Consider the following 17157-nt stretch of genomic DNA (forward strand, 5'->3'; position numbering starts at 1 on the left):
ATTAAAATACAAACATTACCAAGAAAAGTCTCTGATATTATTTAAAATTATTTAACCACTGTTTCAGGCCCCCAGGTTCCACACTGAGAATCCTTTCTTAGTGTGTCTTTTGTCTAAAAGCAAGATTGAGACAAAACCTTTCACTTGAATGTAGCCACTATTTTTTTGTTTTTTGGCAAACAAATAAGCATCAACGAAACAGGATGCCTTTTCATAGTTTTTCAGGTTTGGGACTTATTAGAATAAGGCTAATAAATCTAATAGAATCAGTCTATTCCATTAGAATAATAGGGTCCCCTTTGACATTTCATCTCAAAATCCCAATGAGTCTCCAATTGTGTTCGTCTTTCTCAATCTATTCCCTCATCTCCCTTCGTCTTCTAACCACTCTCCACTGACCTGGACACCACGAGTGGGGTGGGCCAGTGTCACCAGAGAGTCAACCTGTCAACAACTGAACTTGTTATGAGTTGACTCTGGGTCCAGACTACTGCATTCAAAAGCCATTTCACACCTAACACCTGTGTGTTCACAAGCACATTGCTGACCTTCTTTGTGCCTCAGTTTTGTTATCTGTAAAATGGGGATGTAAACACTACCTATCTGATAAAGTCATTGGTGAAATTGACAAGTTAGTGCATGGAAACACTTTGCTATGTTGTAAATGTCTCCCAAAGTTCTTGGGTTGGGAACTCTATCCCCAAGGCAACAGTGTTGAGAGGTAGAACCTTTAAGAAGTAATTAGGTCACTTCTTAATGGATTAATGGCCTGACTCATGGGAGTGGGTTATTGAAAGAGAGGGTTTCTGATAAGAGGATGAGTATGGTCCCCTTCCTCTCTCTCTCTCACCCTCCCACTTTCTGCCATGGGATGACACAGCAAGAAGGCTCTCAAAAGATTCCGGTACCTTGATATTGGACATCCCAGCCTCCAGAAACATGAGAAATAAATGTCTTTCCTTTATAAATTATCGAGACTGTGGTATTCAATTACGGCAACACAAAATAGGCTAAGGTACACCTAGAACAGTAGCTGGCACTCATGAGCCACCATGCTGGCCTGTACCAGCTTTTGACAAATTGCATCTTCCTGGACCTCCCTCCCATCAATCCAGCTTGATCTGCTGTGGAACATCCAACATTTCTCTGTATCCTGGCAGCTCAAGAACAGTTTTCTCACAGGCTTCCAAGTCATGCCATATTTGGCTTCAAGCAATCCTGTTGGCTGGATCCCCCAATGTCTCCACACATTGTCCCTGGGTCATATCTTCCCACCCTAGCTGGGTGTTCCGAGACCACCTGGGTGCATTCCCAGAGAGAGACCCTCCCTGTCCTATTCACATTTCACAGCTTTAACCCAGTTAAAGCCCTGCCTTTTCTTGGGGGCCTTCCCTGATCACCTCTTTCAGAGTTATATGGCTGAGTGCCCTGTTTAAGTCACAGATGTTCTCATGGCTGTCCATAGGGCCCAGGGAGTTGTCGTGAAAATAGGACTCACTTATACCGTATCCCCTGTGGTCTGAGGGGTGAGCAAATGACCCAGCTAAACCACTCACAGTTAGTCCTTTGGAAGGCCATATTGATTGGTCCAAGTAGGTCAGCTGAGCCAATCAATCAGAGTCCTTCTGGAGACCACAGTGATTGGTCCAAGGAATCAGCTGAGCCAGTCAGAGTTATTCCTAAGGAACTTCTGACTGGAGTTGGTGGGAAAAGCTTCTTTCCTCTGGCAAGGCAAGCTCAGAAGACCTGGGATGAGGTGTCAGCCTTGTAGAGAAGCGAATGCTGAGGGAAGTGAGTCAGGGAGGTAAAGACAGAAAGTCCTGAGAGTATTGAGTCTCAGACTCCAGATTCCCTGCCCCGTCTGTGATTTAACATGAAAACAAGCCCAGAATCCTGACAGTGAATAAACACCCTGCCTTTTTGTTAAAGCTATCCAGAATTGGTTTATATTTCTGGAAAGTAAAGAAACTGTAATAGGCTGTGCTTCCCAGGCTAGCCTTTGTTATGTGTGTATATTTTTTAATTTAGTTGTTCACATGTTTAAGTCATCCCTGTCTATATGAGAGAGAGGAACATATCCCATGCTTCCTTCATTTCTCTCCCTACACTTGGCACAATCTTGGGCACAAAATAGATGCTCACTAAATACGTAGGCCCACAGAGGATGCTAGAATTGGCTGGTAGGCCCAGCTGCAAACAGGAAAATTCTGGATCACCTAGAGTCAGCCTACAAGAGTGCCCATCACAAATGTGCAGGAATCGAGTCACAGAGAATTATGGTTTTCTCAGTAAAGGTTGCTTAAAACAAAAGCCCATTCATCTGCCTGCAGAAGACATTTAATCAATTTACATGAGGGATTTCAAAATTAGTCAGACTGTAATGAACTATGAAATACTGATTAATGCATTTTTGCAATGTTTGATTAGAAACTTAACATGTATGCGAGCACATCTTTACCATTACAGCATTTCTATGTTAATATTTGGTTCTTAACCATCGGCAGAATAGATATTCTGAATTACAGAACCAAAGTGTATTTGTGGTGAACAATATATGCACAGTTTTCCTGCTGGAAAGTGCTTCTTGATGTTCAGGAGGTGTCTCACATTTGAGGGGGTGAGTGGGAGGAAGTAGTTCATGGGATGCAGTCATTATGAAGTTGAGTATGAGCTGCTAAATTATTTGAGAGTTCTCCAGAAACCACTAGGGTAAAAGAGGCCAGCCATGTCTCCCACCCCAGCCCTCCGCTAACAACAAGGCATTCTCTGAAAGAGGAAACAATCCCAATTTTACTAAGGCAGAAGAAGCCAAATTCTTTTGGCCAGAATTTAAATATACCACCTCAGTCAAAAATGTTTGTTAGGTTCCTCCTCAGGACAAGCAAATTATTAATTGAAACGCTTGAAAATCTTCTTGAACCTATAGAGGCCACAGTTTTAACACAGTTTTAACGTTCTTTCCTTCTTTCTCTCTTTCTTTCTTTTTCTGTCTTTCTTTTTTTTTTTTTTTTTTTTTTTTTTTGAGACGGAGTCTCGCTCTGTCACCCAGGCTGGAGTGCAGTGGCGCAATCTCGGCTCACTGCCAGCTCCGCCTCCCGGGTTCACGCCATTCTCCTGCCTCAGCCTCCCGAGCAGCTGGGACTGCAGGTGCCCGCCACCACGCCTGGTTAATTTTTTTTGTACTTTTAGTAGAGACGGGGTTTCACTGTGTTAGCCAGGATGGTCTTGATTTCCTGACCTTGTGATCCGCCTGTCTCGGCCTCCCAAAGTGCTGGGATTATAGGCATGAGCCACCACGCCCGGCCCTTTCTTCTTTCTTTCTTTCTTTCTTTCTTCCTTTTCTTTCCTTCCTTTCTTTCTTTCTTTCCTTACTTTCTTTCTTTCTTTCTTTCTCTTTCCTTTCTTCTTTCTTCCATCCCTCCCTCCCTTCCTCCCTCCCTCTCTCCCTTCCTTCCTTCCTTCCTTCTTTCCTTCCTTCCTTCCTTCCTTCTTTCTTTGAGATGGGGTCTCACTGTCTTGCCCAGTCTGGAGTGCAGCAGCATAATCTCTTGGCTTACTGCAACTTCCACCTCCAAGACTCAAGCCATTCTTCCACCTCAGCCTCCCAAGTAGCTGGGACTACAGGTGTGCACCGCCAAACCTGGCTAATTTTTTCTATTTTTGGTAGAGACAGGGTTTCACCATGTTGCCCAGGCTGGTCTTGAACTCCTGGGCTCAAGTGATCTGCCTGCCTTGACCTCCCAAAGTGCTGGGATTACAGGCATGAGCCACCGCTCCCAGCCCACACTTTTAAATTTCTGAGGACACCTCCAAAGATTTTTGTGTCTGTGTATTTCACAGAGAAGGCAAGTTAGTCTCTTTCGTATAACTGGAATGCCCTTTCTCCTGGCAAGATCAACAGAACTCCAAACATCAGGTGATGCTGGAAGTCATAAAAAGGGAAACATGCTGAATTGCAAAAATCCAATCAACTAGAAGTATGATCTTCTTAAAGTTACTTAAATCTTATTTGCACACATGCGGAAAACATCTAAAGAGGTGGATTGACATTTTTAAAAAAGATGTGTTAAAAATTAGCTATTAAAGAATTTGAAGATAAATTCCCACAGTAGGTTTCTAAGAGCACTGATATGCTGAGCCTGGCCCCAGCCATAAGATTATCTGACAAAGCCCAGGCATGGTGGCTCACGCCTGTAATCCCAGCACTTTGGAAGGCCGAAGCGGGCGGATCAAAACCAGCATGGCCAACATGGTGAAACCCCATCTTAACTAAAATACAAAAATTAGCCAGGCGTGGTGGTGCACACCTGTAATCCCACCTACTTGGGAGGCTGAGGCAGGAGAATCACTTGAACCCGGGAGGTGGAGGTTGCAGTGAGCTGAGATCGCCCCACTGCTCTCCAGCCTGGTTGACAGAACTGGACTCTGTCTCAAAAGAAAAAAGATTACCTGACAAACACTGGTTTCAAAAGGTGCTCCTGTGGAAATCCAATCACCATAGAGTGTGCTAACTCCAGAACAGCAATATACAAATTTGTTCACATACAGAAGAAGAGGTCACATATGTGAGTGCACGCGTGGGTACACACAGAGAAACATACTTCATGATTCTTACAAGTGCAGGCAATTATCTCACATTTAGATTTTAAGCCTCCCTTAGAATTTTAAAAATCATTATTTTGCAGGATCGCCATTATTCTGATTCATTAGCAAGGCATACTTATGAGGGTCTTAAAATAACCAGGATGCTGGACATGTAAAAACATGCTTCTTGCTGTCATGACAACTAAATAACAACAATAATGCTCACATCCGAATGACTACAGGGAACAAAGTTATTGTGCCTGAATATAGATAAGTTAATTATGGAATCATCAAAAGAACAGCAGCTCTGTCAATGCAAAGATGATTCCAAAATAATCAATAACAACAATCTTGTTTGGTAATTGGCTATTTGTTTCCAATATGGGCTCTACCTTTGGTCTGCGTGGAAATGCAGCAGGCTCTTTAGCCAGCAGAAGAGAAAAAAAAAAAAAAGGAAAATCTTTCAGTTTAGGGTTGGTGGTTGTCAGTAGCAACAAATAATGGAAAATTGCCATCTGGCTTCTTTGTTTAAATGAGATTTGAATAATCAATTTAATAATGGATAGAGCACTTGCTTACAGAAGTAATCCATTGTCATTGCTCAGAAAAAATAAAAACTTTGTCACCAGAGACAAAGCTCTGCGGTGTGACTATAGGTAAAGCAAATAAACGTCTACGTACATGCCACAATTTTTATTTTCACTGCTGACTTTACATAAACTAGAGGATAACTCTTCCTTCTCTATGCTTAGCTTTTCACATTCTGTGTTTAATAATCAGGACAAAATCTACAGAGCAGTTGGCTTGCTACAGGCATTCAACTCCACTGATGGTTAGTGGAGAAAGAGACACACAAATGGTAGATTTTTTTAGCACATTTTCCCCCATCATCATGTGACATATTGTGGAACAGGCCTGATTTCAGCAGAGCAGAGGAAATAAAAATGCATCTGGCTATGGGGTGTGTGTGAGTGTGAGAATGTGTGTGTGTTTCCTTTACACAGCTGCACAGCTGCAAGAGGAAAAATGCTATTCAGAAAGGAAGAACAGGGTGACACCAGGGATCACGATGACTCATTCATTTACATGATAAAAATGAAGATAGCAGGAAAGGTGTTCCTAACCCGAGCAGAAGCAGGAGTGATGACATCCAAATATGGGGCTTCTGTCATGTCGTTTTGCGTGTGTGTTTGTGTGTGTGTTTAATGAAACATGCATGTGCAGTATCCCATTGGCCTCAAAAGACCCTTGAATCTTTGACTAAAAAATTTACTGGTCAGGCACAGTGGCTCATGCCTGTAATCCCAGCACTTTGGGAGGCCAAGGTGGGTGGATCACCTGAGGTCAGGAGTTTCAGACCAGCCTGGCCAACATGATGAAACCCCCGTCTCTATTAAAAACCCAAAAATTAGCCAGGCGTGGTGGCAGGCGCCTGTAATCTCAGCTACTCAGGAGGCTGAGGCGGGAGAATTGCTTGAACCTGGGAGGCAGAGGTTGCATTGTGCTGAGATTGTACCAGTGCACTACAGCCTGGGCCACAGAGTGAGACCCATTCTCAAAAAAAAAAAAAAAAAAAATTCCATGTGATTTGAAGGAGAAAAAGGGATGAAATCCAGGCCCTGTCGCATTTTGGAAAGTGGCATTCAGGATTCAAACAGCACCATCTGGGCTCTACGGACCTACGGGACTGGAAGGCGGGGGCTTCTCCTGGCCTCCACTGCTTGAAGACTAGAGGGTATTAAGGGAGGATCATCCTGGTGAATCTGGCCTTAGGCTCCTGTTTCCCCAGAACTCCCGATCCACTCGGGGCACATTCCCTTTCACCCGGCACTGGTTTTCTCCTCGGCCTGTGTCACTCGGAAATACCCCCTGTGAGGTTTCAGGTTGTTTGCCTCTTCTCTGACTGAAGACTCATTACTGTTCACCTCTGCCCCTCTCCCAACCCAATCCACTTCTTATTTACTCTCCCAGGACATCCAATGACCAGGTCCCTCCCCAGGTCACAGTTTCATTAACCCCCTTCCTTCAACAGGGAAGTTAGATCTGGTTGACTCTCATCCCAGAGACTCCCTCTGGGACCCAACTTGGCCCCAGGGTTACCAGCACTTCCTTGACACCAAGGCATCCCACCATATCACCTCATCCAGTCCTGCCTTGGGCCACAGAGCCTTTTATAAAGTCTTAGATAGTTTCTCAAGTCCTCTCCACATCTAGGGGACAACTCCATTCTGGCCCCTCTTCCAGCTGGGTCTTGTGAATTCCCTAGACAGAGCCCCACAGAGACTGAGCACATTTTTCCCTGTTCTTCCCAAGACCCCCACCCTAATTCCTGGAAAAAGCAAAGCCAGGAGGCTTAACCTCTTTCACTTTTCCCCAATTATCTGAGCCATCACCTGTCACCCATACTCTATATAGGGGTATCTTCTTGCCAGGATTTCCACTGCAACATGGAAGGAAGACTTGGGAAAATTGCAGACACGTGGTTATGTGCTCATCATCGCCAACACATTCAGTCCAAACAGAATCTCCTGCGCTAAAAAAAGGAGGTGTTCTCCACCTTGCCAGCCTAATCCTGTCCTCTCTCATTTCTCCAGAACTCTAAAGGTCCCCCTTACCCCAGCAGCTTCAATCTCCTCCTCCCTACTTGTTCCTTCTCCTGTATCCTAGTGTGCCCAGATCACCTTGTCTTGAAAAGAAAAAAAAAAATCCCTGGCCTCAGTATCCTCGGTGTCAAGCAGACCACTGAATACTCAGGTCAGGAGTCCAAGAAAGACATCCGTGGTTCCTATGCCCTCCATGGTTCAGCAAAGGACATAATTTCATTCTTTTTTGTGGCTGCATAATATTCCATAGGGTCACTTCCATTTCTATTCTTGTTTCAAAATCCTGAAAGCTCAGAAGGCAGGTTCATCCATGTGCTAGGGTTGCCACAACAAAATACCACAGATGGAGGCAGGGGCTTACACAGCAGAAATTTATTTCTCAGAGTTCTAGAGGCTGGAAGTCCAAGGTGAATGTGTCAGCAAATTTGGTTTCTTCTGAGGCCTCTCTCCATGGCTTGTGGATGGCCGTTTTCTCACGGAGTCCTCTGCTCTGTGGCTTTCCCTCAGTGCTTGTGAGTCTTTGGTGTCTCTGTGTGTGACCAGCTTTCCTCTTCTTAGAAGGACACCAGTCAGATCGGATTAGAGCCCCACTCTAAGGGCTTTATTTTAATTTACTCACCTTTTAAGAGGCCCTATCTCCAAATACAACTGCATTCTCAAGTACTGGGGGTTAGAGGTGAATTTGGGATGGAGGGTACAGTTCAGCCCAGAACACCAGGTGAGAATGTCCAAGGGTGTGCACTAAGAGAGGAATGCAGAGAAGCAGGTCACATCCCTGGGGGGCCGGGGTTGTCAGGGTCAGGAAAGAAAAAGGAGAGAGTGGATCCTAAAGGAAAAGATCAGGGTTTGGAGCAGGAGAGGCTGATCCACAGAGACGAGGACTACAGGATGGGCTGAGGAGTGACAGCAGAGAAGAAATCCTGAGATCCAGCCATCTCCCCTCCCTTGTACCTCTGTGAAAGGGAGTGGAGCAATACTGGACACAGGCTGGATTCCTGTGGTCTGAGCAGCAAACAGGAGAGAGAAAAGCAGAGGCCAGATGCACATGGAAGGGTGATAAGCTGAGTGAAAGATAAGAGAGGCCAGGCCAGCACAATGGTTCATAGCTATAATCCCAGCACTTTGAGGAGGCTGAGATGGGAAGATCCTTTGAAGCCAGAAGCTCGAGACCAGCCTGGGCAACATGGCAAGACACTGTCTCTATGAAAATTTTAAAATGTAGCCAGGCATCGTGATTTGTAGTCCTGGCTACCCAGAAGGCTGAGACAGGAGGATCCCGTGAGCCCAGGAGTTTGAGGCTGCAGTGAGCCATGATTGTGCCACTGCACTCCAGCCTGGGTGACAGAGCGAGACCCTGTCTCCAGAAAAAATAAATAAATGAGGCTGGGCGCAGTGGCTCATGCCTGTAATCCCAGAACATTGGGAGGCTGAGGCAGACACATCACTTGAGGACAGGAGTTCAATACCAGCCTGGCCAACATGGTGAAACCCTGTCTCCACTAAAAATACAAAAGTTAGCCAAGCATGGTGGTGCGTTCCTGTAATCCCAGCTACTCAGATGGCTGAGGTAGGAGGATCGCTTGAACCCAGTAGGTGGAGGTTGCAGTGAGTAGAGATTATGCCACTGCACTCCAGCCTGGACGACAGAGCAAGACTCTGTCTCAAAAAAATAAGAAAAATAAAAATAAATAAATAAAACTAAGAGAGGCCAATGCAGAGGGTCAGGTTGAGGATACTGAGAGTGAAACAGCCAAGGGTAATTGTAGAAGAAACAAAATAAAGAGACAAAACCTGTATTATTTACTCAATGTGTACACACTGTGGCTAAGAATCAAAACCATTAGCATACAAGAAAGCATTTAGAAATTCAAATCAATTTATCATCACTGTCACTGTAATATTGACAATTATTATTTATTTGTTCACCAGACATCCTATGAACATGTTACAGTTGTCGCTTCATGAAAGGACCAGCTCTGCCTGGATTTCTGCTGTGTAATGGAAGATGGAAAAACTTCAAACATATTTTTATGTCCTCATAATGGATGCAGTTCAAGCCACTGCTCCTACTTAGCTAATGACTTAGCAGGGCAATGGAAATACAAGCAGGTCCCTGCACTTTAAGTGTGGTCATGGCTCTTCTCAAATTCAAACTGGCGTTTCTGTGCAACTCTTCCTGGCATATGAGCTCATGGTGCTGCTGGAACACATTTTCGGTGGGCACCCAGGGAACCATTAATCCTAGTTGCCACATTCATGTGTATATTCAGGCTTGGAGCATGTGAACTGGCTTGCTTGGAGTTTGAACCAGGACATCAATTACTAACATGTCTGAGAAATTAATCTTCCGTCAGAGGATAACTCCTACAGGCAAAAACACTTTGGCTACTGCATGTAAGGACAATGTTCGTGTTCTCTGTTCACATCAGAAAAGAAACCCTTATTAAAGGAGGAGGAGGCCTTTGTTAATGGTGCTGATACTTTGTAGACCTTAGGAAAAGGGTCCTCTCTGCCCCAAGACCTCCAGCTTATAGAAGCTGCTTATGCAATGGTAGACCCATCCACTCTGCAATAATGAACAGACAGATAAAGCTTTGCTGGGGGTAAGATAACTCAGATTTTGCTGTTCACATGAAGACACTGTCAACTTCCAACCCTTGGCTCCCTGAGCTTCATTTGGAAATCTCAAATCATCACTTTGTAAACAGGAAAGACATTCCCTGAGAATAGGGTGGTTACCAGCACCTCTCCCCAAAAAAACAAAATGCAGAATTGTGTGGGAAAGAAAGGCATAGCATGCTGCCATTCTGCAAGGAGAGGGTGATTGACTCAAGATAGGGTGATAAAGATCAATTGCCTTGGCTTGGAGTTATGACACCAACAAAGTTACAATGACATTAGCACAAAGAGAGAGACACAAATCCATTACAAAGATACAATCAAATATTCAAAAAAGCCTGGCATGCTCCTTACTTATTCATGCTAATACAAGTATATTAAGAAATCTAAACAGTGTTAGCGCTCAATCACTCACAAACCAAATGAGGTTTTGCATTTATCAGACTCCAGTCATCAGGGCCTGTACAAAGGTGGTAATGTGAAATAACTGGAGATATTTATATCAGCCTACATGGACGGAGAGATACACCAGGATTTATTAAAATGAGGAATGCCATCACATTTACACAGCAATAAAAGAAATAACTGTGCAGAAGTCATTTCCCCAGACAATAAGATTTACCTTTGCAATCTCTTAAAGATTTTGTATGTTTTCAAAGGGTCGCTGGCAGCATTTCCGACCTTAATAAACTATTTACGGATTAATTTCTTCCACAAAGGACTGGATGCCCAAAAGTAGGTTCCCTCCTCGAGAGCCAGCAATAGACTCTAAACCTTTCTGTTTCTGAGGATGCTGCACACAGACACGTGTATTCCATCTTCTCAGGGACTGCTCTTTGATTAAGTGACATGTCCTCAATTTTCAATAAAGAGAAGTCTATTCAGGATACTGGGATGGGGGTGGGTGGTGATGTCAGTAATGATGTCCTAGTTCAATTATCCAGTGCTTGGGTTTTGGGGAACCTGAGAGGATATTTAAGAAGATCCACAAGTTTTACAGTGAGGAGTGCAATGGGAAGCCACAGAAGATCCTTGAAAAGGGATTATGCTCCAGCATGAGAGTTGCCTCACCAGCTTTGCTCTTCTCTACCTCCCAGGAGTTTTCTGCTCCCCTGGTTTCTGAGAAAATCCTCCTCCCCATCTTTTCTTCCTCCATTGGTGTCTCTTCCTCCCTAGGTTCCTAATGTTGCTGTCAACTCCATTTCTTTCTTTTTTTTTTTTTTCCTTCGCTCTGTCACTCAGGGTGAAGTGCAGTGGCACAATCTTGGCTCAATGCAAACCTCCACCTCCAGGGTTCAAGCGATTCTCCTACCACAGCCTCCGGAGTAGCTGGGATTACAGGCACCCGCCACCATACCTGGCTAATTTTTTGTATTTTTAATAGAGATGAGGATTTCATCATGTTGGCCAGGTTGGTCTCGAACTCCTGACCACAGGTGATCCACCTGTTTTGGCCTCCAAAAGTGCTGAGATTATACGCTTGAGCCACCACACCAGGCTTTTTTTTTTTTTTGAACAAAGATATCTTCATCTTTAATAGGGGTATTGCTAGCCAGTATGTGCGTGTCTGTAATCCCAGCTACTCCAGAGGCTGAGACAGGAGAATCTCTCAAATCCGCCAGGCGAAGGTTGCAGTGAGCCAAGATCACGCCACTGTAATCCCACCTGGGTGACAGAGTGAGACTCTGTCTCAAAAACAGAAAACAAAGAAACACAAAACAAAAAACCAGAACTTAAATAGGGATATTGCTTTTCTTGTTAAAGAACATTTACTGTTACACATTTTATTTCATTTGTTAATAATTTTTTTTACATTTCATTTTCTATTCAGAGGCTACACATGCAGGTTTGTTACAAGGGTGTATTGTGTGATGCTGAGGTTTGAGGTCCAATTGAACTTATCACCCAGATAGTGAACGTAAGTACCCAATAGGTAGTTGTTCAGCCCTTACTCTCCTTTCTTCCTCTCCCTTTGGAATCTCAGGCGTCTATTTTTCCCATCCTTGTGTCCATGCACACCCTGTGTTTAGGTCTCACTTACAAGTGAGGACATGTGTTGTTAAATTTTCTGTTTCTGCATTCGTTTACTTGGATATGCAAATTGCATCCATGCTGGATTTGTATCCCTGTTTCTGTAAAGGACATGATTTCATTCTTTTTTGTGGCTGTGTAGTATTCATTCTTTTTTGTGGCTGGGTAGTATTCCATGGGATCACTTTCATTTCTATTCTTGTTTCAGTCTCTTCTCCCCATGGCTGGTCTCATCCATGCCCATGGCCTCTAGAGCACATGGCCTCTGGCACCCCAGTGATTCTCCAAATTACAATGTCCCAGACCTCTCGCTGGAATCTCAGAGCTTCATATCCAATTGCTCACCACAACACCACCCAGAAGCCAGACACTCAGAGAGCCTGAGTCTGTCTTGATTCTTCTTCACCTAGAACAGACAGTGAGTCACCTGCAAGGTATCTTCATCCCCTCCATTCCAACCTCACTGGAAATGCCCTGGTACGGGCCCTACACCTCCTTCTCATTCATGGGTGCAATCCCAGCCCATCTCTCCTTCCCCCAGAGTAATCTTGCTGAAACATGCCTTGTACTTCATTGCTGTCCCTCTTAAACGGGGCCATGAATGGCCTAGAGAGTGAGGTCCAAACATTTTCCCAGTGCCACGGGGCCCTTCCTGCTGTCAGCAAGAATGTGTCCTTGCTGATGTTAGGCATTTGCATGAAGCCTAAGTTATAACCACACTGTAAGCACACCCTCCCACCAAGTGGCCCGTGCACTCTCTTTCTGTTTGCTTGCTTGCATATCTGATGCCTGGGCAGCCTTCTTTTGCCCTCTTTCAGGGTCTTCCTCAAAAGCATCTCTTGGGGAAACAGCCAGAATCAGGCACCCCTCCACCTGTGCTCCTCTGGCCCTCTGTGTCCTCCTTCCAATTACTTCCAGGGAGACAGTGGGCTGCTAACCATCTGGCACTCAGCCTCCTTCCTGCAGTTCAGGCCTGGAAGGATTCATGATCCACAGCAGAAGCTGCCCTACTTGCTAGGATGTCTCTTTTCCCTCTGTTTCCCTTTAGTGTGCAATGGCCAGGATTGGGATCAAAGTCTAACAAGGTCTTGCTGGGCACCAGGCAGAAGGATAATTCTCTCCCAGTAATCCATATCATAATCAGTTCAGGTCATCTCAAGGAACTACATAGAACTGTGCTTATCACTGCAAGAGACACAGGAAAAGGAGAGCCAGCCGCTGCCTCTCAGAATCTAATAGGACCATCCTAAGAAGCAATTTCAAAGGACGTAAAAGCTGGCTTGTGCCAGATGCAGTCAAATGCCACCTGCTGAAGGGTGAAGGGTTGAGGGCTTGGGTTTCAAATTCTGGTTTCTTTGTGCTGATGGTGTGTCCCCACTTCCGGCCTTAGCATCCTCACCTGAACATGTCCTCCAGGGGAAGACACTAGCCTGACATCTTAAGTGTTGTTAGAAGGTAAATGCCATGTCGGCTGAGACACTGTCTGTCCCATTCACTGGCATATCCCCAATGTCTGGCACTTAGTGGGCACTCAGCAAGTATTTACAAAGGAAGAAAAGAAGGATGAAAGGAGTAAGGAAAGAAGACAGGGAAGACGAGGTGGCTGTCTGCCCTTTCTTGGTTGACTCCCTCATTTGTTTTTCAGTTTTAGAGACAAGGTCTCTCCCACTATGTTGCTCAGGCTGGAGTGCAGTGGTGCAATGGTGCAATCACTGCTCACTGCAGCCTCAACCTCCCAAGCTCAGAGGATCCTTCTGCCTCAGTCTCCAGAGTAGCTGGGACTATGGGCGTGCACCACCATGCCTGGCTAATTTTTTAATTTAATTTAATTTAATTTATGTATTTATTTATATTTTGTAGAAATTAGGTTTTGCTTTCTTGTCCAGACTTGTCTCTAACTCCCGGCCGCAAGCAGCCCTTCCACCTTGGCCTCCCAAATCACTGGGATTACAGACATGAGCCACTGCACCTGGCCGACTCCCTCATTTTGATGGAGCAAGTCTTCCTTAGCTTCTGATACATAGAAAGTAAATTGGTTAAGAGCTTCTATGACTGAAAATGTCATTATTCTAGCCTCATACTTGATTGATAGTTTGGCTAAGTAGAGAATTCCAAGATGAACAATTTGGAAGATGCCTTCTAGTTTCCAGTGTTTGTGAAAAAATAGAACTCCCCCGTCTCTCTCTCTCTCTGTCTGTCTCCCTCTCATTTCTCTTTCTCTCCTATGCATGCACACATGGAGGTACACATCTTATAGATTGTCTTTCTGTTTCCATTATTCATAAATTTCTCAGTGCTGGGCTTTAGATGTGGACATGTGCCTATCCATTGGCCTGGGCACTGAAGTCAAAGGAAGTTTCAAGGGAATCATTTTCTCCATGACCTCCTCCCCTCCGGTTTCTCTATTCTCTTCTTCTGGAACTCAGATCTTTACTCAGATCTTTGGTTTCCTAGAGCAGTCCTTTAATATTTGTTATTATTTATCTCCTATTTTACATCTTTTTGTCCTTTCCCCCATCTTTCTGAGTGATTTCCTCAAGTATAACTTCGCTGCATGGGGTGGGGAGAAATTGGGAGATCTAACAGCTTCTTCAACAGACTGGCTAATCCCTGAGCCAGTGGGGTATTCCATGGTGTACATTTGTGGACTCTCAGCTTTCCCCACTGGCTTGGGAGTTAGTACTCTTGACTAAGGTACCCAAGTCCCTTACTACTCACACATTTATTTCCTACCTTCCAAAATTCTTCTGCTGCAATTTCATCTGCTGTTTCTCCTGTTCATGTGCCTTTCAGAATAGGCAGTGTCTTTCCAGTGGGGTTGGAGAGAAGAGATAAAAACCTCACTTTGTTGTCTATATATTTATTTCAATTTTTTTTGTTTTTTTGAGAAAGGTCTCACTCTGTCACCCAGGCTGGAGTGCAGCAGTGCAAACATAGCTCACTGCAGCCTTGACCTCCTGGGCTCCAGCAATCCTCCTTCCTTAGCCTCTTAAGTAACTGGGACTACAGGTGCTTGCCACCATTCCTGGATAATTTATTAATGTTTTGTAGAGCCTGGGTTTCACTATGTTGCCCAGGCTTGTCTCGAATACTTGACCTCAAGCGATCCTCCCACCTTGACCTCCCAAATCACTGGGATTACAAGTGTGAGCCATAGTTCCCAGCTACAAAGATTGTCTATAATATATATGCTGCAAATATTTTCTTCCAGTCTAAAAGTTGCCTTTTGCCTGTGTTTATCATGTCCCCTCTAAATGGAGCTGCTTTTGATTTTTATGTAGAGAAATCTGTTGCTCTGTCTCTTGAGTCTGAAATCTTGCAGAAGAATTTAATCAGCAGTACTTTCCAGTTTTTGTTCTTTTAGGGGTTCAAGGCATCCTCTGGCCATTAGTCATTCTTAATGAAGAAAGCCAGAACTCTGAAAATGCACCATTCCCTGCCCTGAGTAGCTTCATTCCACTGGGTAGTGATCAGCCCCTAGTAATTCTTGGGACTTCCAGTGGACCTGTGTGCTTCCAGCTCCCCAGTCAGACATGCAAGACTCCATTCTCTAGGCAGGGTGCCTGTCAAGTCCTCACCATGAGGGCACCCATCCTCAATTCACTGCATGGACTTGCTTCTTGGACACTATCCTCGGCATCTCCCTCCCCCAAGACTGCCTCATTAGCCGGGTTATTCAAGGCCGTGTTCCCACAGGGCACAGCTCTGCGCAGGAGCAATGCAGACCCCAGGTGCATACAGACACAGCTCTGGCTTGATGCCATTTATAAGCAGTGACTGATAAATCCAGAGCTTTGGATCAGATAAAACTTCGATAAATGGCCTCTTCACGTGCTGGTAGCAATACCTACTCCTGTCCATTCTGAGTCACCTGCTGCAATTGGCTTCGTTTTGTTTAATCAACAGCACAGGCAACAATGCTTGAAAGTGATCGCACTGGTGAGAAACGGTGGAGATAGTCCCCTACCAAAGGGGACCTGAGACAGAAAAGTACAAAAACTCACAGCCCTGTTCAGAAGCCCCCATGCCTGGGATAATGCAGCCCATCTTCCTCTATCTTGGCTGTTTGAAGAGGAACAAAGGTGGCATCCTACAGTAGACCACAGAGGTCACTGGGCCTGTGCACAAATGCAAGGCATCACCCCAAGCATCCCCTTTGCTGGGCACGCCTCACCTGCCCTTAGTCCACCTGCATCTGGAGCAAGTGGCTCACCAGCCCTGGCTACTTCTCAGAAGGAAGTAAGCCGCCTCTCTCCCTCTCATGTTTGTAAAAACACAACTCTGTCTTCACCTTGCCTACAGCATCAGGTCCACAAAGCCACCCCTTCCCCCACCATGAATCAGAATCGCCCAGATAAAGGAGTTGTGTTGGCCTAGCAGATAGGCAAGCAAATTGGGCCTGTTTGCAAGGGATAGAGCATTTGGAGAGCTGAAAACTTCTCTAAAGCTGTAAGAACACCATTCAGTCCTGTTCAGGCCACTCAGCCACACGGGACAGTTCCATGCATGTAGCCCCCCGCTAATAACCATTCCCCACCCCCCACCCACCCACACCTCTGCAGATCAGGACTCTCAACTTGGCAGCCCTTGTTGCTGTCCACAAGAATGAAAACAAAACAAAAAAACAGTTTTCCCAGGAGGGAAGCTGGGTGAAGAAGACATGAAATGCATAGAGCCTTCTCCTTCTGGCCCATGACAGACATGAAAACACAGATGCAACACAACTCTGGTCCAAACATCCCTGAGCCTGCACATTCTATGAATCTGTCGCTTCCTTTGTAAAATGAGGAGAAAGTGACTCAGGCTTGAGAGACAGACAGTGAAACCAGATTTCAAAGCCCAGTTCTGCCACTGACCTGCTGTGCAACTCAGGGCAATTATTTAATATAATCTACTTCTCTGAGCTTGGTTCCTTATTTGTAAAATAGAGATTTACATCTCAAGGTGTATTCATTTACTCAGTCATTCAGCAAATATTTATTTGACTTGTACTGAGCTCCAGGCAGTGTTCTAGGTGTTAGCGATGGTCGTGAACAAATGAACTCTGTAGGGTATGGCACAGCACACAGGTGCTAAGTAAATAATGACTGTTATTACTCTCACTATTGCTAATGAGTTTTGTCATGAGAAGCAACTGGAATTAAAGTATGTTAGTGTATTTTATAAGTGTAAAGCTCTCTGCAGACATTAGCTGATATTATTTCTTCCATGGCTCATGCTCTAAGAGAAGGCCAATGGGTTGCTCTCGGCCCCTTTCAGAATTGCAAGAGAGCTGCCACCAGTTCTTGCCACATCTCCTGTCTCATGTACACAGCTATCT

Source organism: Homo sapiens, chromosome 19 (assembly GCF_000001405.40).
Source record: "Homo sapiens chromosome 19, GRCh38.p14 Primary Assembly".
Taxonomy (NCBI): Eukaryota; Metazoa; Chordata; class Mammalia; order Primates; family Hominidae; genus Homo; species Homo sapiens.